The sequence below is a fragment of the Homo sapiens genome, chromosome 8, assembly GCF_000001405.40.
Source record: "Homo sapiens chromosome 8, GRCh38.p14 Primary Assembly".
Lineage (NCBI taxonomy): Eukaryota > Metazoa > Chordata > Mammalia > Primates > Hominidae > Homo > Homo sapiens.
Window position 1 is genome coordinate 21,669,461 of NC_000008.11, and position 24,326 is coordinate 21,693,786.

Sequence of the window (24,326 nt, forward strand, 5' to 3'; positions counted from 1 at the left end):
ATCACGCCACTGCACTCCAGCCTGGGCAACAGAGTGAGACTCTGTCTCAAAAATAAATAAAATAAAATAAATAAAAATAAAGATTACAATATACAGTTGACCTTGAACAACACGGATTTGAACTACACAGATCCACTTATACACGGATTTTCTTCTACTTCCGCCACCCGAGATAACAAAACCAGCCTCATCCTCCCCTGCCCACTCAACCTGAAAACGACGAGAATGAAGACCTTTGTGATGATCCACTTCCACTTAATGAAGAGTAAATATATTTTCTCTTTCCTATTTCTTAACATCTTTTCTCTAGCTTACTATATTGTAAGAATACAGTATGTAAAACATATAACATAGAAAATATTATGTTCGTTGACTTTATGTTATTAGTAAGGCTTCGGGTCCACAGTAGGCTGTTAAGTTTTAGAGGAGTCAAAAGTTATAAGTAGAGTTTTTACTGTGTGGGGAAGTCAGCACCCCTAACCCCTGTGTTGTTCAAGGCTCAACTGTAATTTTATATTTTAAAACAAAAATAAATGTGCCATTTTTGTACTCTAAATTGTGGAAAATAAAATCTGACAAAATACTTTGGCTTGCTGGAGACAAATGCCCAACAGCACAGTGCTCCTCTGGGGGTGGGAGCCTGGCCTCGTGGGGTCAGGGTTTCAAGGGGAAGGAGTGGACATGGGGTCAGACTTGGACATGGGGTTTCAGGTTTGAGGACCATGACACTGTGAGTGTTGGGACCTTCACAGGGATCGTCTCTTCTGATTGGCTCCTTGCAACCTCAGTGGCATCAAAAGCATGAGCTTCAACAGTTTCCCAAACTTCCCAAACCACAGAATAACCTCATGGCTGTGGGGAAATGCGCATTCCTCGGTCCCACCACAAACATGAGCCGGAGACTCTGGATTCATTTTGACACACAACCTATGGCACTGTTCTAATCTGGCCAGATTGTAACACAGGTTTCTAAGTCACGTAATATATCTGTATTCATCAAATTCCAAATTCCATACAAAGATAAACCCAGAGAATCCAGGCTCCTGCAGCTCCCTAACCCTGGCCTGCTCTACCACAGAATACCCTTCGATCCACTTGTTTATCTTCCCCATGTTTCTTTACGCAAATGCAAGCACAAATGAATATACATGTATATATTCTTATTTCTTATATTTCACAAAAGATATACTATTTATACGTTCTGTCCCTCCCTCTTTCACTTAGCAAACTATCCTGGGACTGTCTACATATCCATACATGGAGATTTTCCTCTTTCTTTCTCTCCACTGCAGAGTTTTCCACTGGGTAGATGTGCCAGGACACTTCATGCAGTCCCCGGTGCACAGACGCTGGGTCCTTTCCAGACTTCTGTTATTATGAACAATGCCACAATGAATGACTTTGTACACATGTGATTTCATACGTGTGCAGGTGTACCTGTAGGATAGATTCCTAGAGTGCAATTGTGGGTGGAGGGGTAAAGGCATCCATGATGTTGTTGGACCTTACCAACGTTCCTTCCATAGAGTTCTTCCATGTCACGCTCTGCTTGCAATAGCAGAGATCACATCATTTTCCACAATTTTGCCAACACTGTGTTTTGTCAAATTTTTGTATTTTTGCCCAATCAGAGGGATGAGAAATGGTGTCTCTCAGTGTGGTTTTGATTTGCATTTCTCTCATTAGGAATGAGTTGCACATCTATTCCATTCCAATGATGAAGGAGCATTTGCATTTTTTTTCTGTGAACTCAACGTTCACGTTCTTCACTCGTTTTTCTTCAGTATCACTTGCTTTTTGATTCCACATGTGGTGTTTTGGGCATGCAGAAATCATTTTTATTTTTATATAGTCAAAATTCTTCATTTTTTTTTTAAATGGAGTTTCACTCTGTTGCCCAGGCTAGAGTGCAATGGCGTGACCTCGGCTCACTACAACCTCCGCCTCCCAGGTTCAAGCAATTCTCCTGCCTCAGCCTCCCGAGTAGCTGGGATTACAGGTATGAGCCACCATGCCCGGCGAATTTTGTATTTTTAGTAGTGTATTTCTCCATGTTGGTCAGGCTCGTCTCGAACTCCTGACCTCAGGTGATCCACCTGCCTCGGCCTCCCAAAGTGCTGGGATTACAGGTGTGAGCCACCGTGCCTGGTTTGAATCATAGAAAGTCTATCCCCATCCAAAGTGAACTCCAAGTTTCCCTGCAGCATTATTAGGTTTGCTTTTAATGTTTAAATTGTTGCTCCATGTGGAGATTTTCCCCATGCATGATATTAAGTACAGAGCCAATTTTATCTTTTTCCAGAAATGGCTACTGTATTGTTCCAATACCCTTTATTAAGAATTCATGTTTACCACATAGATTTGAGATGCCATCTGCCTCTCCGTATCACTTCCTAATTCTTACATTGCTTCTGGGCTGTCTTGGTCCTGCTGTTCTACCCCTTTGGTGTATCCATCCATGCCAATGCCACGCTGCTTTCACTATCCAGGCAATAGTACTTCCAAATTGTCGGGTAGGGCTAGTCTCCACTCATTAGCCTGCTGCTTTTTGTTTTTTAAGATATTTTTCATATTTCTTGCTTGTTTCTATTCCCATATAAACTTTCAACTACCTTGTCTAGTTCCGAGGGAGTGGAGCATGGGGGAAAACCTGTAGGTATATTACTGGGAGTAATATACTTGTATAAATTACCTAGGGAGTACTGACTTCTTGGCAATATTGTCTTCTCATTCAAGGAGGTGGTCTGATGAGGGAGAGGGAATTTGTTCTAGCTGCAGGAGGGTCTCGAGGCTGGGGCAGGTGTGTGACAGGAAACGGTGTGGTTTGTGTTTAACCTGAACTCACCGCGGCCATCCCTACTATAATAGTATTTAGTGGCCAAAGTTTACCCCAGTTTTTTCTAGTTCCTCCTATTATTTGAGATTTTGTACTGACATAAGGGGAATTGAGGAAGTTTAGCAGGACACACTAAACATGTGATCTAAGTTCAGAATCTCCTGAACATCCGTTTAGGACTGGTCTTGCTCAGCGTTACTGTAGGTGGTTTGGGGAAGCAAAAGGAGAACAAAGGAAGTCAAGTTACAAGTAAGTTTAGCGTGTGCTTCCTATAAGCTAAGACAAAGGAGGGGGAGTTGCAAGGATATAGATCCTCAAACACCCCAGGGCATATAGCCGGACTCGGTAGCTTGCAGCAGCTTAATGCAGGGTGTCTTAGTTCATTTGGCTGCTACATCAAAATACCTTAGACTGGGTAATTTATAAACAACAAAATTTATTGCTCACAGTTCTGGAGGCTGGGAGGTCTGAGGTGCCAGGAGATTGAATGGCTGGTGAGGGCCTGTCCCCCATAGATAGTGGCTTGTATCTGTCCTCACATGGCAGAAAGGGCTGGCAGCTCCCTCAAACCTCTTTATAAGGGCACAAATTCTATTCAGGAACCCTCCACTCCTAAGATCTAATCACCTCCCAAAGGCTCCACCTCTTATTACCATCACATTGGGGGTTAGGTGTCCACATATGAATTTTGGGGGACATATACATTTAGACCACATAGCAAAGGGGGTGGAATCGTATGACACTGACATCAAAGTGGGTAGGGAACACACAAAATGGGCTTTAAGTATCAAGGATTAGAGAAAGAGGCATTTATGGATAGCAAAGATGAGCCTCAGCACAACCGTAAGACCCATGATAGAAATGTCCCCTTCTCTTTGCACTTAGGCCCCACCCCCACCCATCTGAGCCTTCCCTCCCAGACCTATGGGCCTCTTGTTGACTTTAGGATCCACCATATTGCTATTGCACCAAGGTGCCCAGGGCAGCCATCCCTCTCATCTCTCTGCATTTGCACAGGCCACTCCTCCTACTGGGAGGCCCTCTTCCCCTTCTTTGCCTGGCATCTCTTGCTTACTCTTCCAGATTCAGCTCCAGTACCTTGCCACCTCCAGAAGCCACCTGACCTATCCCTATATGTGACAGTCACTGACACTCAACCACTGTGACAAATTTCATGTGTCAACTTGACTAAGCCATGCGGTACCCGGATATCTGGTTAAATATTATAAACATTATTTCTGGGTGTGTCTGTGAGGGTGTTTCCAAGAGAGATTAGCATTTGGATCATAAGACTGCATAAAAACCTGTCCTCTTCAACATGGGTGGGCACATCCAACCCATGGAGGGCATGAATAGAATAAAAAGGCAGAGGACAATGGAATTCTTTTTTTTCTCTCTCTCTCTCCTCTCTCTCCTGTCTCTCTCTCTCTCTCTCCTGACTGCTACCCTGGGACATTACTCTTTGCTTGTCCTGGGACTGAGACTTAAACCATCAGCGTTCCTGGTTCTCATGTTTTCAGACTTGGACTAGAATTTACTCCACCCACTGAGGGATGGCAGGTGACAGATCATGGGACTTCTCAGCCTCCAGAATCACGTGAGCCAATTCCTTATAATATGTGTCTTATTGATTGTTTCTCTGGAGAACCCTAATACAGCCATCTCCTTGAAGCACCCAGTGCTATGTGCTGCACGCATCCCCGTATGCTACACCCACATTGCACACTTCAAAGAAGGTCTCCCCCATTATGCTCTGAGCTTCCCCAGGGGAAGAAGATGAACAAAGCATCCAATATATGTTTGTAAAAATGAATGAGCAAACAAAGCAATAAAAGCAAGAAGCCCTGGGGGGCAAATCCCTGCCCTCCACCACTACCACTTACCCCAACTAAGTGACTCTGGACAAGGTAGTAAACCTCTCTTAGCCTCAGTTTCCATGCTTGTAGAATGAAGAGAAGAATAGCACCTTCTCAGAGGATTGTAATAGGACTAGATAAGATAATGCAGGTGAAATGCCCAGCCAGTATCTGGTGCCTAAAATGCATTCAATTAATGTTAGCTACTGTCATTGCCATTAATGAGAATTTAGTTAATGAGGTTTCAAGCTTGGGTTTACATTTAACAAAAGGGTCCCGGGCTGGGCACAGATAAACAGAGGCATTTTCTATAAGGAGAGCTCTTTCCACTGTACTCTGCCCCTTTCCAATAAGTCATCCCCACTCCAGCTGTGGCCAGAGCCAGGCGTCCTGGGCCCTGCCTCTGCAGATGAATGCAGAGCATCTCCTGAATGCATCCTCCTTAGGAGAGGCTGCCTCCACAGCAGAGTGCCTGAGCTCTCTGGGGCTTCTGCAATCTGGGTTTGCAGCCAGTGGCATGTGGAGTCCAAGAGGGCAGATGCAAAATCACAGTACCATGGACTTCCCAGAGCACGTATCAGAAATGCTTCCTGAACAGCAAACCTCAACTTCACAGACGGTCCCATCGGAAAACAGCTGACAAAGGCCTGGTTATGTAATGGAAGCAGCAAATAACTAGCACAAATACTCCCCAACAGAAGTGGAAGAAACACCCCCTAAGGCCTGAGTCATTCTCTAGGAGGAGACCACAGAGAAATCTGCTTGCATAAGCCCAAGTATTGAGAAGGCCCTAGACCAGACTTAACTTAAAATCATCAGAGAACACCCTGCCGACCTGAAGGGAAAGAGGATAGGCTAAGGCTTGGGGACTTCCCAAGGTGCACTTCGAAGTGTCTCTTCTCTTCCTGGGATGGTGTGGGGAGGGGGCTGGTGTGCAAGAGTTTATGGGCAACAGTTGCTTACACAACAGACGGGAAAGCCCAGGCTACCAGCTTGGCCTCCTCAGGGAGTTTCTGAAGGGAGTTTCTCCTTTGGATGCCCCGTAGTCAGCACATAGCAGGCTCTGGATGAAAGTTGCTGAATGAATAAATCTGTTTCCCTGCATGTCAGGCTCCTAGCCAGCAAGGAACTCCAGAGGACCAGGAGTGGAAGTAGGTCATCAGGATGGACGGGGAGGTGACTCAGTAGCATCTCCCAGAACGCCTTTGTCCTACAGTTTTATAGGCCCAGGGAGCTAGACTTGCGCTGTCCACACAGGAAGACCTGTGTTTCTTCTAGCTAAGGGTTAACACCCAGCTCTCAGCAGTGTGAAGTGAGTTACCGCCTAGATTATAAATCAGCGAGTGCTGCGTAAAGAGCTGCTGAAGAAATAGGCTATGCTTTAAAAGCCCTTAAATGTGGATTTAATTTTATACTGCGATTCACATTTGGAAAGTTGCTAAATATCAATCTGTGCGTGTGTCCAGTGCCCGCTCCAAACGGAGGGGGGTGTGTGTGTGTGTGTGTGTGTGTGCGCGCTCGTGAGCGTGATACAGCTTCAGAGACGAGCATGGAGCCTTTACTCTCCACACGCGGTCCTCTTCCCCTGCCATGTTATTAGTACGGCCTTTGGCAACACTGCCTGTCACAGCTTTTGACTTTGAACCCAGCCCCAGAGACAAGTCAAGGCCTTCAAAGTTAGACCTGGTCTCCCCCTGATGCCATCATGCCACGTCAGTCAGGGACAAAGGTGGACTCAGCGAAAGGCCAAGCCCTCTCAGTTTCCATGGGCTACACTGGTTGGGTTCAGGCTCTGACCTTCTTCACAGCAAACTTCAGAGACGGTACCAACTTCTAGATGCCGTCCCTGGCAGCATCCCCACCAGGCACAGGGCAGAGAGCATGGAACTGGGGCTCACCGACTGCAGTTCTTATCCCAGATCTGCCACTAACTGGCAGAGGGAGCTCCAACCCATTGCTTAACCTCTCCAGCCCTCAAGCTTCCCATGGGGAATCCAGACAAAAACAGCTGCTCAGCCTACTTCATATCTTCCCTGTGAGGACTGAAAAGAGATCATGGCTATGAAATAGAACTTTGAAAACATGAAGCTCCACGTCTGTGCCACGGGTAATTACTGCAGCCTGGTGTCAGCCTGGTCAAGGCCATGTGCTGGGAGGGCTGATCTCCTGGGCCATCTCTGCTAATGGCCAGGTGGAGCAGCACCATGGGGGGAAAGGCATCCTTGCCTGGTGCCAATGACCTGGGCTCCAGGGCAGCACCTGCCTAGACCCCAATTTCTCCCACGTAATAGGGAGTCAGACCACTTGATCTCAAAGGCCCCTCCCAGAACTATGTGCCACGAGTCTATGCACCAGACTGAATGCCTGAACCTTCTCTCCAATGATGTTCAGAGGTTTATTTAGGGATTTGCAGAGCCAATATGCCAAGCACCAAGCTAGGTGGTCAAGATGACATACAGGGCCAGGTGAAGTGACTCACACCTGTAATCCCAGCACTTTGGGAGGCCTAGGCAGGCAGATCACTTGAGGCCAGGACTTCAAGACCAGCCTGGCCAACATGGTGAAACCCCGTCTCTACTAATAATAAAAAAAATTAGCTGAATGTGGTGGGGCACACCTGTAGTCCCAGCTACTAGGGAGGCTGAGGCACCAGAATTACTTGAACCCAGGAGGCAGAGGTTGCAGTGAGTTGAGATCCTGTCACTACGCTCCAGCCTGGGCAGCAACAGAATAAAACTCCGCCTCAAAAAAAAAAAAAAAAAAAAAAAGACATAAGAAGAGTTAAGGTGCCTGGCCTCAAGGAGCTTACATTTGAGTCTAAATGTCGGGACTTAGGGCACATCAAATCACTGAACCAGAAACTTTTTTTTTTTTCACTCATCATAAAAATTTGCTGAGCACTTACTATGGGTCAAGAATTCTGTTACCCACTTATGCTGTCTTGTTTAATCTTCCACTACCCTCTGCAAGAAATATTGCTACCTCCATTTTATAAGCAGGGAAACACAAGGTCAGAGAGGTGAAAAACGTGCCCAAGTTCACACAGCTGTCACATGACAGCACAGAATAGAAACACATGTCCTGCTTCACTCCAGATCTACATTCTTGAGCACAAGGGGCTCATTGGCTGGAGTTGGCAAAGAAGGCTTTGTGAAAGAGATATGCAGTTGCTTATTCATTTACTTACACCCCACATAATTCCAAAAAGGTTTAAAGTTGTGTTTCTTTTTTTTGTTTGAGACAGAGTCTCGCTCTGTCGCCCAGACTGGAGTGCAATGGTGCAATTTCCACTCACTGCAACCTCTGCCTCCAGGTTCAAGCGATTCTCCTGCCTCAGCCTCCCGAGTAGGTGGGACTACAGGCGTGTGCCACCACACTCAGCTAATTTTTTTGTACTTTTAGTAGAGACGGGGTTTCGCCATGTTGGTCTGGCTAGTCTTGAACTCCTGACCTCAAAGGATCTGCCCGCCTCAGCCTCCCAAAGTGCTGGGATTACAGACATGAGCCACTGTCCCCAGCCTGAAGTTCTGTTTCTAATCAAAAGTGTTCAATCACTGCAAAATATCAAATGTAAAAGATCAAACCCATAGAGTAGAATTGGAAGGATAATTAAACATGAAACTGAACTAAAGTGCTTTCTTTAACCATTTGTTCATTCATTTATCCCTTTATTCAATGAGTATTCATGGAGTATATCATAAGTTTCAGACACCATGTGTTCTGTGCTGGGTGTACTGGGCAGAATGACACACTCCATGGCCTTAAGGAACTTAAAGTCTGTGTATATGTGCATCTGTGTGTTGAGAAAAAAAAAATAAGACAATCAGCCTGAGAGTGTTCAGATAGAAGTGGGCATGGGTCATCCAGGACCATTAAAGGTGGCCTCTTTCCCAGCCTTGGGGAGCCAGAGAAGCTTTCCTTGAGAAATTTGTAAAAGGAGGTTGGGCAGTACAAGTATGTCAGACATCACAGCTCTTGAGCAGAAACTTAACTGTGTTTTCTGGCAACCAAAGCACAAAGGGACAATAAGATCTGTTCCATCATGCTCTAACATCAAGGAAGACTATTTTTCCCGTACTAAGATCTAGGGTCTTATATATCCGTATGGAAGGGACATTTTCTGTAATGAACAGTGTCTTCCAGAATGAGCTTTTGAACAATGCAAGCCTTCATGAAGTGGCTGTGACTGATAGCAAACCCCACTGGAGCCAAGAGTAGAATGTTAGAATGTCCTCCAGTCATCACATTTACACAGGGAATCAAACTATTGCAGTCTCTTCACACGGCTTTCCAACTCTCAAATTTGGTTCAGCAACGGAATGAGAAGAATGCAAGCATAGGCAGAGAGGACATGGGGATAAAGGAAATTAAAAGGGAACCTATTTTTTAAGACCTACTCCATACCAGGCCCTGCACTAGGCACTTAATGTGCATTAGCTCATTCAATACCCCCAACTCTCCAAAGCAAATGTCACGTAACCCCCTTTACAGAGGGAAAAATCGAGGCTTATAGGGTTAAGTGGCTTCCAAAGGTCATATAGTTAGAGTTTATTGAGGGACCCAAAGACTGAGCTGGTCCACACTGAGACAGCCCAGTTTCATAAGCTGCCCATCCATACCTTACCTGGCCCAGTCATTCTAGATCCCCTGGAGCTGTTTGCCAGGACACCCACCCGGTCCAAACCACTTATTTGACAGAAGAGGAAACTGAGGCAGACAGAAGGCAAGTGACCTAGACCAGGCAGAAACCACAGCCTTGTTTTCCTGACTCCCAGGCAGATACCTCCTCCCCCGCCCTGCATCCAGCAGAAGGAATCATTCTTCCTGGGCAACAGCCAGCCAAGTGCTGGAGCTCCCAGGACCCGTGCTAACAACTGCTTCTCAGTGATGAGGAGCTGGATAGGGCCCCTCTGCCCTCTGTCTGCCTTCCACCTCAAGGGCACAGCCACTTCAGCAGAACTCTGAGGGCAGGCACATCGTGGACCCTAGCGGGAGGGTTGTGATGCCCGAAATCCAGTCCATGTTATATGGGGTCATCTCCACCCACGCAGGGAAGCTCAGGAAAGGGAGGGGGAAGCCCTCTCATCAGCCGCCTCTGTGGATGCCTCATTCTTTCTGTCTATTCTTCCCTTGATTACTCTGAGTTCATGTGCAAATAATCAACGGCATTTTTTAAAGCCCAAATGATAGGCTTGGCAAAATTCTTCACTAGTTACAAATTATCACGGGAAGAATGGCATCATGGGGCCATTGAAGAAGATGGCTCAGGACAGGCATGATGTCGGCCGACATCTGACACGAGAGGTCAGGCACCCAGGCGGCAGCATCCGCCAGCAGAGTGGGCTCCCCAACCCTCAGTCAGGCCCAGTCGGGGCCCTGTGGTCACCTCATGCCACTGCAACCGGGTCAATGCGGGGCCAGAAGGAGGATGTCTAGTCTCTATGGCCCAGTCACTTCTAGCCCGCTTCCCTTTGTTAGTCAATCAGCTTCTCCCAAAGGAACCCAAGGTTTGGCTCAGAGAATTGTAAATGAATAAACAATTCCACCTACCTCTATGTTTGCCAAGGAGAAACTTCTGTGTGTGTGCATTTATCACATATATATACCCACCATTGTCCCCTCACTGCAGAATGGGAGTATAGAAAACAGAAAATGCCTGTGGCCCCCTCAATTCAACTGAGCTGCCCTGAACACTCTTCCAGGACCCGCTGAAACTCCATGCCTACTTTCAGTCAATCAACAAACATTCACTGAAGTTCCTCTCTCTACCAGGCAGGACCATTTGCAGGCCCTTTTAGACTCCCCCTCCCCAGGAACGGCAGCATGGTGTCCTATATACCCTAAGCATCATTTAAGTAAATTTAGAAAACTTAAGGCTTGCTGTTCCTGGTTCCTCCCTTCTCCTCTGTCTTTAAAAGTCAGCAACCCTTTGGGAGGCCGAGGCGGGTGGATCACTTGAGGTCAGAAGTTTGAGACCAGCCTGCCAACGTGGTGAAACCCTGTCTCTACTAGAAACACAAAAATCAGCCAGGTATGGTGGCACATGCCTGTAGTCCCACCTACCCGGGAGGCTGAGGCAGGAGAATTGCTGGAACCTGGGAAGTGGAGTCTGCAGTGAGCCAAGATCGTGCCACTGCACTCCAGCCTGGGCAACAGAGTAAGAATCCGTCTCAAAAAAAAAAAAAAAAAGTCAGCAACTGTGTGGCCCCTCCCCAGAGGCGGAGGAGCTGGAAATTTTACTCAGCTGGTCTCATCCTTTCCCTTTGCTTCTGACCCCTGACCTTTGGCTTCAACCAATGTCCTGCACTCCTGTCACTAATGGCTGGAGAAAGACAATTACTATAAGGAGGCTGCTTGCCCGAGTAGATCTTTTATGAAGTGATATTCGCTCACCCTGGCACACTGGAATCTTTGAATTTCATTGTCCTCTTGAGGTTGTATCTATTTCCTTACCATTTCAAGAGGCAGCTGTTGATCTCGCCTGGTGATTTCTGACAAGCTCCTCTTCCCTCTGCTGATGGCCTTTCTCAATCATATACCTGAACAAGCAAGACCTGATATTCCTCTTTCTGTGATCATTAGCCCCCGCTTAGTAAATAAAACCCACCTGCTCCCCTCTTTGCCCCCTCCCCCTCCCGAGGCTCCTCTTAACCCTTCCAGGCCCAGGCTCAGCACAGGGGAGATTTTCCCTGGATAACTTCCCCATTTGTTTACCGAGACAGCGAGTGGCCACAGCACACAGCAAGCATGCAGGCCTGGTGCAAATTCAGAAAGAGACATAGATGCAGGGTATTTTTGCGCTGGAACATCATTTTTTTTTAAGTAGGAGGGTGAGGCTGGGTAAACCAGGACATGTAGTTATTTGGAGGGACAGGATGAAGAAATTAGACGGCTTCGAGCTTGATTACAAGACAGGCTTTCTGCAGAGGAACTCAACTGAACTTGTTTCGGCAGATGTCCAAGTCTCCCACAATAGCCAGACCCCCACCCTGGAGCGTCTCACCAAAACACCCTCCTTCAAATCCTATTGGGTCAAAACCCACTGTGCTTCCATGGCAAGTTCCCTTTGCTCTACTGACAAGAGAAGAGTTTGCTAAGCAAATTAATCAAAGTGGACTGTAGGGTATGTGCAGAACCCACTAAGAGAAGAAACCATTTTCCAAGGTTGGAGAGGAATGGACTCAGAAATACAGTCTAGGGTTCTAGTCTCGGCTCTGCTGTTCATGCACGGCAGTGTGGCCTTGATTCAGCAATACAAAAAAGCTGTCTAAGGCCAGCACTCCCTGCGATCTGCTTTGATATGCCAATTCAAAATCCTCTCTGTTCCTCTCCCCATCCCATTTTTCCTCACATTCTACCTGAACACTCTCCCAGGACCCACCGAAACTCCATGCCTACTTTCTTTCAGTCAATAACAAACATTTACTGAAGTCCCACTCTCTGCCAGGCACTGTTCTAGGGGCTAAGGATAGAGGTGTGAAGAAAAACACAGAGGAAGATCTTGCCTGCTCGAAGCTTACATTCTAGTAGAAGGAAGTACATCATAAACAATTATACACACAGACACACATACATATGTACACAGGTAAACATGTATGCATATGTAGTCTGTTGGAAGGTGGTAAGTGCTTTGGAAAAGTAAAATTTAGGAAGTCCTAAACTAGTGGGGGGAAAGGGTTCCCTGGAGAGGGAAGGTTTCTTTAATTAGCTGATGTTGGAGCAGAGACCTGAAGGAAGTGAGGGAGTTAGCTATGATATTGACTAGGAAAAGAGTATCCTAGGTAGATGGAACAGCCACTGCAAAGACCTGGAGGTGAGAATCGGCTGGGGGCGTGCAAAGAACAGCCAGGAAGCCCCTGTGGCTGCAGCAGAGTGGGTGGAGAGGGCAGCTGGAGAAGGAGTCAGAAAGGTAGTGAGCCAGACCATGGAGGGCCTTATATGGAGGCCTTAAATGGAGGCTGTATAGGGAGGCCTCATAAGGGTTGGGTTCCACTTGAAACAGATTATAGTACATTTCTTTGTTTAAGCAAAATTGTATAATTCAGATTTTTTAATTCATTTAAATGAGTCTCCCTGAAAACCTCCCAATTAATTCAAACGAGGGGAGTTTTGCCCCAGATTGATGGAAAGAAGCCAGGAAATGCACAGCGGAATTCCAAGAGGCTAATAACTGGAAAAAAATACGTAACAATATTCAGGCAAACTACATGGGTAGAGTGAGGCCACCTAACATGCTAGTGTGTTCCTAGCGGGTTCCTTCTCTCGACTCCATTCCCCAGGAGGGGAGAGGACCCTGTAAGAGCCTGGCCTGGACAGTGGGAAACAGAAGATGGAATGATCACGATGGACCCAGAGAGCAGGTTCGTTCAGGGGCTTTGGGTGGATGGATACCCCAAAATGATGCTCAGTTGGGTCCAGACAGCCGAGAGGAAGAGCAATCCTGACCCGAAGCACAGGATGTGGGAGGATAAAGCCCGTTTCCTTCTCCAGGGCCTGCAAACGCTGCACACAACGCCGGCAGCAGAAGGCGAAAGACAGAAAGCCAGCCAGGCGGAAGAGGCTGTAACGAGGAAGGATGAAAGAGGGAATTCCTAGAAGAGAATGATTGGATTCCAAGTCTGTGCCACGCTGAATTTCTAACAGGACACAGCAACTAGGGGTGACCTAATCAGCATGCACGTATCATACCCAGAGTCCCACACCTGTCGTCTAAATCCTACATGTGCACGCTCAAGTATTTGGTAGTCCCGGCCTGACCACAGCGGGTGGGGCGAGCAGAGGAGAAAGAGGAGGAGTCCCGGGGGCAGCTGGCTCCAAGGGTGGAAGTCAGGGGGCTTGCAGAGGGCAAAGAGAATCCTTAGGGATCCCCCGAGAGAGACTCCTGTTCAGGGGGATCCCTGGGAGCACTCATCTTGCTGCCAGAAATCAATCACTCCATCAGTCATGTTGGTTGCCGAATGAGTAGTACCCTCCTTGCGTCCCCCCACTGTCCTGCCACTGTCTAATTTAATTCTGTGGATGCTCCCAGGGCCTGGCCCTAAACAGAGCCCTCCCCAGGAGGGCTTTATCTCTGATGGGATCCTTTGCAAGGTGCAGACTCAGCGAAGCAGATCCTGGGTGGTGTGGACTTCCTAGTCCTGCCAACCAATGCCCAAAAAGGAAGGAGGCTCACGGGGCCAGCTCAGCCCAACTTCCCACTCACAGCAGGGACCCAACAGTGTGGCTGCTTCCACAAACACTTCTCAGACTGCCCGGTGCTTTTTCTAGACCTGTCCTCTCCAAGGCTGCCCTGGGACTTCATATCAAGATGCAGGAGGGGGAGTTTGAGGGGTCGGGCTAGGTCATCACTGTCATCACCTGGGACCACAGCACCCCTGGACCATTTCCAGTTGTGAAGAAGATCAAGTTTCCTCCATTTGAAAGAAAAGGTTATTCCAGCAGCCCCCATCACCACCACGCACTCCAGGTAGAAATACCAGAAATACATTTCCCAGAATAAGATATTTTAGTACAGATCCCTCATGTCACTGCAGCCTCCCACTCAGCCAGCTTTCTAGCAAAACGAGAATTAAGAGTAATTTCAGGTTGCTGGGGCCCCTGAAAAAGGCTTATCTTCCACTGAGGATAAAAGTGAAGGATAGACTGGGCCAGGCGGGGTCATTCCACAAGGATTTGTTTGACCAACCAGGCTGGACCCTGACTATTAAATGGAGTAGGATGAGAGCAGCGACCTCATCTTACATTGTGAGCCTCCTGTGTGTTGGTGGGCAGGGAAGGAGAGGGGCGGGGTCAGTCCACTGTGCTGGGCTGGAAAAAATCAAAGAGTTTTTCCTGGAAGACTCTCTTCTGGCTGTAAGAGCTTCAACACACGCAGTCACGCTCACCACGGTGGTTGTGCAAACCTCCCACAGAGATGTTTGATGAGATTAGTCACTTTCTGCCAGGGTGGTTGGTCCATGCGTAGGAGACTTCATGACCTCTGATGCTGGGCAGTGTCTAGGTCAAGGTGGTGACTCAAGTGTGCCCTCCTCCAGGGAGGGAGGCCAGGCGGGGGCTGAGTCATTGCTTCACATGGCCCCAGAGGTTGGCTTCCCAAGAAATGCTGTCTTGAAGGAGTGGGAACAGGCCAGCGTGTAAGGTGCCACGCACAGAGCAAGCTCTAAGGTGGCAGTCCACAGCTCTGGACTAGAGGCTCAGAGAAAAATTGAAGCAACCAAGCATGTGGCGGTGTTTGCTGAAAGGGAGATGAATTCTGCCTCCTTTCAAGTCATTTTTCCCCAGGCCGGTGAGTTCAGGAATGGCTGCCAGTCACAGAATCACAGAATCCCATTGCCGAGGGAAGGTTGGGGAGCAGCCCCTCTGACCTCTCCCTCTGAAGATGAGGGCAGGAGAGTCCAGGGAGGGTAAGTGACTTGCCCACAGCCATGCAGCGCTCTCAGGGGCTTCTCTGTGCACTCAGGACCCTTGTCCCCTCCCCAGCCACTGGGGTGGCAGCTCCATTTGCTCTTGGCCACAAGTTCTCCGCAAGCACACAGAGAAACCTTGGTGCAAATTAGAGAATGATGCCCCCTCCTCGGGGCTGAGGCCCAGGTTGGGTGCACAGATGGGTGAGTTGAGGGTGGCTGGCTTTCAGCCCCATTCGCCCTGCTTACCAGATGCCCCTGATCAGAGTACAATCTCACAGTGGCAAGCAAAGTCCCCACATTCCAGCCCACACCTATGTGTGCCTGGTCCACAGGCTACCTGCCTTCTCTCCTTGCACCTCTGGACCGCATGCAGGACGGTTCCTCCCAGCTTTCTCCTCCACCAACTCCCATGTGAGTTCACCTCCCTTTGCACAATGGGCCAGTGTGCCCTCTCTCTTCCTCCAACTTAAGGATGATTTCAGCCCTGTCACCCATCAGTCACTCCCCGCTGCAAACCCTCAGAGTTCCAACTGCCTGGGGTGGACAGCTTGGTCTCAGAGGTCATCTAGAGCAGGGGTTGGCAAACTACAGCCCATGAGCCAAATCTGGCCTGTGCCTGTTTCTGTAAATAAAGTTTTGTTGGAACACAGCCATGCCTAGTCATTGACATTGCCTATGACTGCTTTGGAACTACAGCAGAACAGTTGCTAGTTGCAATGGAAATGGCATAGCACACAAGGCCTGTCATTTTCACCATCTGGCCCTTTACAGAGAAAGTGTGCCCATCCCTGACCTAGAGCAAACTTTCCAAGGCTCAGAGAAGTTCAGTGACCTAGCTGATGTCACCAGCTGCTGGATGGCAAAGCCAGCATTTGAACCTGGATCCCCTGATACTCCTTCTGGTATATTCCAGACTCCTTGAGAAAAGAAATGACTTTACTATGTCATCAGACTCTCACCCCGTTGCCAAACTTTTTGTTGTTGTTGTTGTTTTGAGACGGAGTCCCACTCTTTTGCCCAGGCTGGAGTGCAGTGGCGTGATCTCAGCTCACTGTAACCTCTGCCTCCTGGGTGCAAGTGATTCTTCTGCCTCAGCCTCCTGAGTAGCTGGGATTACAGGCACACACCACCACACCTGGCTAATATTGTATTTTTAGTAAAGACAGGATTTCGCCATGTTGGCCAGGCTGGTCTTGAACTCCTGACCTCAGGTGATCCACCCGCCTAGGCCTCCCAAAGTGCTGGGATTACAGGTGTGAACCACCACGCCCAGCCCCTGCCAGCCTTTTCTCTATACAGAAAAGCACACAAAGGAGAAGTGGCTCTACTTAGAAAACATCGAGGTGGCTCAGAACTCATACCCTCCTGGGGCTCTCCCTGGAGGAATCTCCTAGGAGCCCGAGGTAGCAAAGCCCACTCCGCTTTTGCATCAGGCCTGACAGGGCAACCCCATGCCTGCCCACCTCCCATCGGTGTTGACATTCCCTTCAGCTCAGCTCCACATCTGATCAATATTTATTCACCATTTTGAGCTGGTGCACTTGCTCCGGCAGCACATCCTCTGCCTGCATGCGTGGAGAGGAGGCAGCCAGTCAAAGGTACTCCAAAGAGCGTGACATTTGCATCTTCTGTAGCCACTGTCCCCAGTGGCTCACAGATCACATCAACTCTATTTACCAACACAAGGAAGTTTCTTTTTTCTCTCTCTCTGTCTTCTCTCTTCCTGCCCTCTCAATTCCACTTGGCAATGCTTGCAAGAACACATCCCAGGGGCCTGATCACAGTCATTTTTTCGTCTGCCATGGGGAATCCGTGAAAGCTTCTTAGTCCACAGAGAGGAGGAGGAAGGAAGAAGATCCAAGCATGGGTCCCAGTGCAGCTTCTCTCAATGCCTAAAGGAGCCCGGTGGCCAGCAGGTGCTGAGGAGTCCTGGAGGCTGGGGCAGGGTGGCCACTGGACCGAGGGAGTGGCTGAGCACCCCTGCATGCCAGGGCATATGGCAGGGTACTGCATTGAATCCTGACACCACTCCTTGGAGGCAGGGACCACTATCTCCATTTCACAGATGAGCAAACTGAAACTCAGACTGGACGTGGTCACCCCCTTGGTCAGTGGCTAATCTGGAACTCAAACCCAGGTCTGCCTAATTCCCAAATTTACAAACCTCTTAACCATGGCGCCCCCAAGGTAAGAGCTGTCCAGGCAGGTCCAAGCAAGCAAGATCCTAGCTGGTCGGTCTCTTTCCCGGAAAAGCCAGCTTCCAGTAAAGCCATTCCCAGCAAGGTCATTATCAATCCCAGCAAAATCAGGATGGCAAGCCCTGAAGTGGAATGCCACCCTCATCCCCCTACCCCACTGGAAAGGCTCTGAGCAGGGACCTGTGTCCTTGGGCACCGCCTTCCTCCCCACTCCCTCCTCCCTCGTTTCAAGTCCACACCATACTTGATTTAATGAAGTCACTTATAGAACTCCCCCCTCATTGCTCTGTGGGCTCCCTTGTGAAGCCCACAAAGGTATACTCAGCCCTTCATCTGTGGATTGTCTGTCACCGCCGACCTGCACAAGCATGAGGCTGCTGGAGACGGAGGAGAAGGAGCAATGATAAAGCCCAGTTAACTGGAGCACCCCGTGGTCAGCACAGGCAGAGCACACAGGTGGCATGTGTGACTCATTTCAGGGTGACAGCCTGGCATGACAGTTACAGCACAGGGCCCCGAGCCAGCCTGCTAAGTTTGTGTCTGAGCACTGCCACACCCCGTAGCATCTCGGGGCAGAGAGTAACCTCTCCACACTTCAGTGTGCTCGTCTGTAGAATGGGCTGCAGCACCAGCCTCACTGAATCCTAATGGGGATGAAATGAGGTAACAGTCATACAGTTTTGGAATGATGTCTGGCACATGGAGAGGGCTATGTAAGCATGAGTTAATTCTTAAATATATATATTTTTAAGTATCTACATTTGGTTTTGGTTTGGTTTGCAGTAGTGCTATTAAAATCCTCCTAAAATGTTTGATACCATTTTTCCGCTCTGGAAGGTACAGCACAAAAACTCCACTTCACACTAAAAGAGGAATGTGGCAAATATGTCTGGTTAATTGACACTCTGCATGGCCTTGATTGTGTAAACAACATCTTTGTGAGGTTTTCAGAGCCCTTTCTATTTACTCACTTGCTTGAATGTAGGAGGTAGAGTGATGAAGCCATACTGCTGAGTTTTTAGAACACACATCAGACCTTAAAGATTCAATGTGGTCACCTCGGCAGGCTGGGATCACCCCCATCGCTCATGACGTTGGAGGTACTCCTTGCAGGGGAGGGGATGTGCTGGGCCGGAAAAACCCAGCTGACTGCTTAGTCAGCCTCAGCAGCCTCTGTCCATCTCTGTCTCAGTCTGTCTCCTCTCTTCCAGAGCTCGTTTAGAGGTGAAAAGTACTTGAATCATCCAATACAATTTTGTAGGTGAGGCAACCAAGATTGAACAAGATTGCCTGAAAGTCACCGTAAATGACTAGAAGGCAGCCATTCCACCATGTAAACCCACCACAGAGAATGTCATCAACCTTATTTACCAGTTTGGCTTCTAAATGACTTTGGATTTTCCTAAAAAATTTAATCCATTTTTAAAAGATGAATGGGCCAGTCACGGTGGCTCATGCCTGTAATCCCAGCGCTTTGAGAGCAGAGGTGGGTGGATCACCTGAGGTCAGGAGTTCAAGACCAGCCTGGCCAACATGCCGAAACCCCATCTCTACTAAAAAAACAAAATTTACAAAAATTAGCTGGGTGTGGTGGCAGGTGCCTGTAATCCCAGCTACTTGGGAGGCTGAGGCAGGAGAATCGCTTGAACCTGGGAGGCAGAGGTTGCAGTGAGGCAAGATCGCACCACTGCACTCCAGCCAAAAAAAAAAAAAAAAAAAAAAAAAAAAAGATTATCTACCCCTACTAAGACTCTAAAAAAATGGGCAACAAACAGGCGATGAATCTGTTTACTTGTATTAACACAGTATGGGCCAGGAGCATGGGTGGGTCACACCTGTAATTTCAGACTTTGGGAGACTGAAGCAGGGGATCCCTTGAGGCCAGACAATTAGGATCAGCCTGGGCAACATAGTGGGATTCCATCTCTACCAAATAATAAAATGAATAGGGTGTGGTGGCACACACCTGTAGTTCCAACTACTTAGGAGTCTAGGGTGAGAGGATCACTTGAACCCAGGAGCCTGAGGTTGCAGTGAGCTATGATCACACCACCACACTCCAGCCTGGGCAAAAGAATGAGACCCTGTCTCAAAAAATAATAATAAAAATATTTAAATAAATACACAAATTTTTTAAAATATGCAGTAAGTGACCAGCCTCAGCATCCTTGGGAGGGGCAGCCCAATTTCAACTCACTTCACAGATCAGAAAATGCTGGTAAAGAATTTCTCCAGCTGGCAGGGAACACTGGGGCTTCAATCCTCATGAGTAAAGGAAAGTCTTCATCTTAGGCATTCGACAGTCTGTGGCTGGGAACTAGAGACAGGTGCATATGTATGGATGCACACGCACACACACACACACACACACACACACACACGCCCCTTCAGCATGAAGTGAAGCCATCGGTGCATGCACACAAACACATTCACACAAAGCCCCTTTGGCAGAAGTGAAGCCATGGGTGTGTGCGCACACACACACACACGCACACACACACACACACACGCACACACACACACACACACAAGCCCCTTTGGCATGAAGCCATAGCAGATGGGCTATGAGACCCTCAGAGGCAGGAACCAGCAGGCAGCCGACACTGGGAGGCTAAACCAGAGACCCGGTGGGCTCCTCAGTGAGCAGGCGAGTCATGGGCGAAAGTCCAGATTGGCCAAAGATGTCCATCCTGGCAGGCCTAGGACCACCATCAGGAAGGTCTGTGGGAAACAGCAGGGCACCTCCTCAGCCTAAGCATCCCCGTCAAGGCAGGACCAGCAAATGCAGGGCTGAGCCCCGTTCTGGGAAACCTGTGTGCCAAGCCGATAGCAAAGGCAGGGCCTGGGGTGCCAGGAACTAAGGTGACGACCCTGTGTTTGGTCTTGATACCAGGTAGGCGCCCTGCTGTGAGGACCACCGTGGGTCAACGTGGGACCTGCGGCACTGCTCACTCAATCCTGAGCTTCTGAATTGGCCACCTATATGACTTCACACTTGACAAGGTATCAGAGCCTAGAAAACGGAGTGAGCCAGACTTGCAGATAGAGGCATGCCCCTGATCAGGAATCCTCAGGGGGCTGGTGGCAAAAAAAAGCTAATTTTATACACTTTGCTGACTAGGGGGTAAAGGCACAGGGCCCTGGATTGCATGTGTCTGCAGTCTCCCACAGCAACTCTAAGAAAATCTAGAAATCAGTCTCTGGTGGCTGAGCTTGGGGGCTCACGCCTATAATCCCAGCACTTTGGGAGGCCAAGGCAGGCAGATTACTTGAGGTCAGGAGTTCGAGACCAGCCGGGCCAACGTGGCGAAACCTTGTCTCTATACTAAAAATACAAAAAAAAATAAAAAAATTAGCCAAGCATAGTGGCACACACCTGTAATCCCAGCTACTTGGGAGGCTGAGGCACGAGAATCGCTCGAACCTAGGAGACAGAGGCTGCAGTGAGCCGAGATCGCACCACTGCACTCCAACCTGGGTGAGAGTGTGACTCTCTCAAAAAAAAAAAAAAATCTATCTCTGGTGGTCCCTACCAAACTTTCCATGATTCACTTCCTGTTTTTGGTCCCTCAACCCCAATTTCAATGTCTAGACTCAAATGTCTTAATGTTACTAGAATTCATTCACACCATTAAATTAACTAACATTAAGATAGCAACAATTTATTCTTCTAGTTCGATTTGCATATTTTGAGAGAATCACAAATAGGAATCATCTCAACCAAAGGAATGAATACCTAATGGTAAAATTTCAGCCATGTGATACTTGGATAGGGAGACATTTGAGGGCAGAGTAAAGCTAGCTAGTATCCACTCCTCCTTCATAATGGCACCTCAGTTTCCTCTTGGGAAATTTTCTCTCCCCCATGATGTAGCCTAAGGGCTTACCTCCTATTAGGGATACCAGACATGACATATATATCCTCTCTCTCACACTCAAGTATGGCAGAGGGCAGGCACAAGGCCCAGTTCAGCCAGATGGGCAATGGTTGGCAGCAGAATGCTGACCCTGTACATCCTGCCTTCCAGCCCCTCAGATGCCCTCCAGTCCCTGCCCTCGCCTCCCCTGGTCCCCCCACCTCCCACAAATTCCGTGAGCCACCTTCTCCCATAGCCTTCCAGTAAAGTACTTTTTAAGTTAAATGGTCTTTGCTGTTTGCAAAGAACACGGATTCCTAAGTGGATGCCATGACCACGTCTACCCGCAATGGCTGGACAGAGACCTGGCTGGCTCACTGTACCCCTTCCATGCAGAGGCTGGAAGGCAATACACCACAGTGATAAACGCTGTGAACGGATGCTGCTCACACATATACAACCAGAAGCAAAAGCCATTGAGGGGACCTGCGATTGGGAGATGGGAAAACTGCATCCTATTGTCCAGTTGAAATGGGATGGGCTCACATGCAGCCCTGAAGGCCAGGCTGACAGTAGAAACATCTTCTCGCCTACCAGTCTTCCATTCTCCCTCCTGCCATGGGTATATATTCACACGTGCACGTGAACATGTGCGAGCCTGCACACGACCGCACACACATGTACACATGCTCACATACATGGACACACACACACTTGGCCAGCAGGCATTCTCCTGGTCCTCTCTGGGGAGAATCTCTCTTGGAGACTATGGCAGGCCTAGTGTCCAAGTGGGGCCTGGGTAGCAAATGGAGAAACAGGAAAGGAAGGAATAGAGGGAGACCCAAAAAATACTTATGCTTTCAGACCATGACCCCAGAACATGCACAGTCATGTCCTTCTTCTCTGGTGGGACCCAAAAGGCCAGGTCACTGCACTCACAATCACACATCTCAAATAAGCCAGGAGTCCCAGAGGGACATACCACTTTGCTCTATGTAAGACTAACAGGGCCACCCAGACAGCCTGACAATAAAACATTCCCAACGTGTGATGCCAAGCTGTGGCTCCCCACCACGTCCACGTCCACTGCATTCTCTTCCAGCCTGGGAGCCACAGGCATTTGCGCCAACTGGAGAAGTGAGCAAAGAGGGAACAGAACAGCCCACCAGGCTCAGCACAGCGTGGACCCTCAGATCCCGCCCCCAGTGTCAAACCAGCTCCTAAGAGAGCTCCATCTACACACAATGTGGACACATGGGTGAGACACATGGATGCACACACATGCACACAGGCACACACACGGACACACATTTCCCCAGCCCACTGGGAGCTCCACTTACGCAGGTAACACTGGACCAAGAACAAAATGGGGGCAAAACCCCACGGGACCGAGGCAGAGGCAGCTTGCTTCCTAGCACGTTTATTGGAGCCTTGGTTAAGCTTGGATGCGGATCAGGAGCCCCCACCAGAGCCCAGCCAGGCTGACTGGGGCAGGGCACTGCGGGGCCAATGTCCTTTTTCCCCATTATAGACAACAGTATTAAAAAAAATAAACTTTACAATAATACATTTTCGCTCATCTGTTGGGGTATTATTTCCATAGTTTTGTTGCTTAAAAAAAGGAAAGAAAGGGGAAACCACACAATATATGTATATGGATGTGTATATACATATATGTTAGGAGAGGAGCCCCGGTATGTACATACAGTTGACGTACGTCTAGGAAATGAGGAAAGAGAAAGGGGAAAGGAGGAGGAGGGAGAAGACAGCAGGAAAGCTTGAGGGCCCACGGTGCTGCAGACACACACCCGGCTGTGGTCTCTCCCCTCCCTCTCCCCAAAGGGAGGCCTGCCAAAGGACCCACGAGAAAGCAAAGAAGCCAACAAAGGACCGTTTCTCTCTGACTTCAAAATTTCTGCCACCGAGAAAGAAGCTGGTGCCCAAGTTTTAATGCCTCGCCACAAGGGCTCTCCCAGGCAGGCTGAGCTCTCAAGCCCTCCTGGAGCTGGCCCCCAGCCCCAACACTCCGTGCTACAGTCAGGGGGAGCCCAGCACGGTGCGAACCCCCTCCACCGCCATCCGTGGGGAAGTTCCCACACCAGCTGCAGACCCACCAGCCCCACCCGAGGGCAGAGAGGGAGGGCAAAACCATCTCCATCCTTGAAGCCAAAGGGCTGAAGGTGGACCCTCATGGCCAGCCCCGCTGCCCCGCTGACCGATGCCCTCTGCCAGCCCCCAGCGGGTCCCCAGAGTGGGCAGCCTGGGGAAGCAGCTGTGTTGTCCTGCCCCCAGCCAGCCTCAGGCACAGCCCAGAGTCCCTTCCGCTGCAGGCTCTTGTCCGGTCTCTGCTTCAGAAGGGTCCAGAGAGAAAAACACCAGGAGAAAGTGAAGGGCATTTCTAGAGCCTCGTGCCCTCCCCGGCACCAGAGTTTCCCCTGCCAGGGGACCCCTGGGCCAGCTCTCAGGCTGCCTGCCTGCTTGTCTGTTTGGTTTACAAAAACTTCTCCAGAGAAGAAACCTGGGAGGAGACAGGTTCAGCGACAAGGTGGGAAAAACAATTTTTTTTTTGCAAGGTGTGTGTGTGTCTGTGTGTGTTTCCATTTCGTCAGGCGGCTGTTCTTGTCTGCGTAGCTTTCAAAAATATTCTGACTCGGTTCCCACAGCCTACAAGGCCAGTTTCAGCATCAGGACAGACAGCACGGTCAAGGCAGCCGACGGTCTGGCTCTGCTGGGGCCTGAGTTAGGTTTGATCACCTTGTTACTCCCTGGGATGATATTTGTCGTGAGCTGAGTCCGCAGCAGGAGAAGAATCAGGAACAAAGAGAATGAAAACAAAGAAAACAGTCAGGAGGCCTGGGACCCGGCAGAGAAACGGACTCAGGAACTGGACACCTCAAGCCCCTGTCCTCTCTTCCACCCACAGGGACCCTCCTTTGCACTCTGAAGGGAGCGCTGACTCTCCCGGAGCTGGCCCAGGCAGGAGCAGAAGGGAATGCTCTGTCCCTTCTGGTCACAAGCCCTGGGGTTTGGAGAGGAGGGCAGTGGTCACCAGGATAACAGGCTACTCCTCCCTGCATCAGGGCTGAGGACCTGCGTCCCAGTGAGGAGGCAGATGGTATAAAGAGCTGAAGAAGGAGGAGAGAAGAAGAAGGAGAGGAGAGAGGAAGGAGAGG

At 49.1% G+C, this 24,326-nt stretch overlaps 1 protein-coding gene across 7 annotated transcripts in view, besides 1 other annotated feature; it reads right to left on the bottom strand.

The window, feature by feature from the left end:
- Positions 20,938-24,326, bottom strand: part of GFRA2 (GDNF family receptor alpha 2) — a 121,948-nt gene continuing 118,559 nt past the window's right edge. For all 7 annotated transcript variants that reach the window (XM_047421687.1, XM_006716327.4, XM_011544484.3 and 4 more), the window contains one exon: positions 20,938-23,940. In XM_047421687.1, the coding sequence (XP_047277643.1) occupies positions 23,818-23,940 (123 nt within the window). In that variant the 3' untranslated portion in view covers positions 20,938-23,817. The remainder of the gene's footprint in view (positions 23,941-24,326) is intronic.
- Positions 23,359-23,859: an enhancer, noted in NCBI's record as "H3K4me1 hESC enhancer chr8:21550331-21550831 (GRCh37/hg19 assembly coordinates)". NCBI's record gives its function as "activates a minimal SCP1, AML or CMV promoter by ChIP-STARR-seq in primed H9 embryonic stem cells {active_cell/tissue: H9 hESC(primed)}" and the evidence as "EXISTENCE:reporter gene assay evidence [ECO:0000049][PMID:30033119]".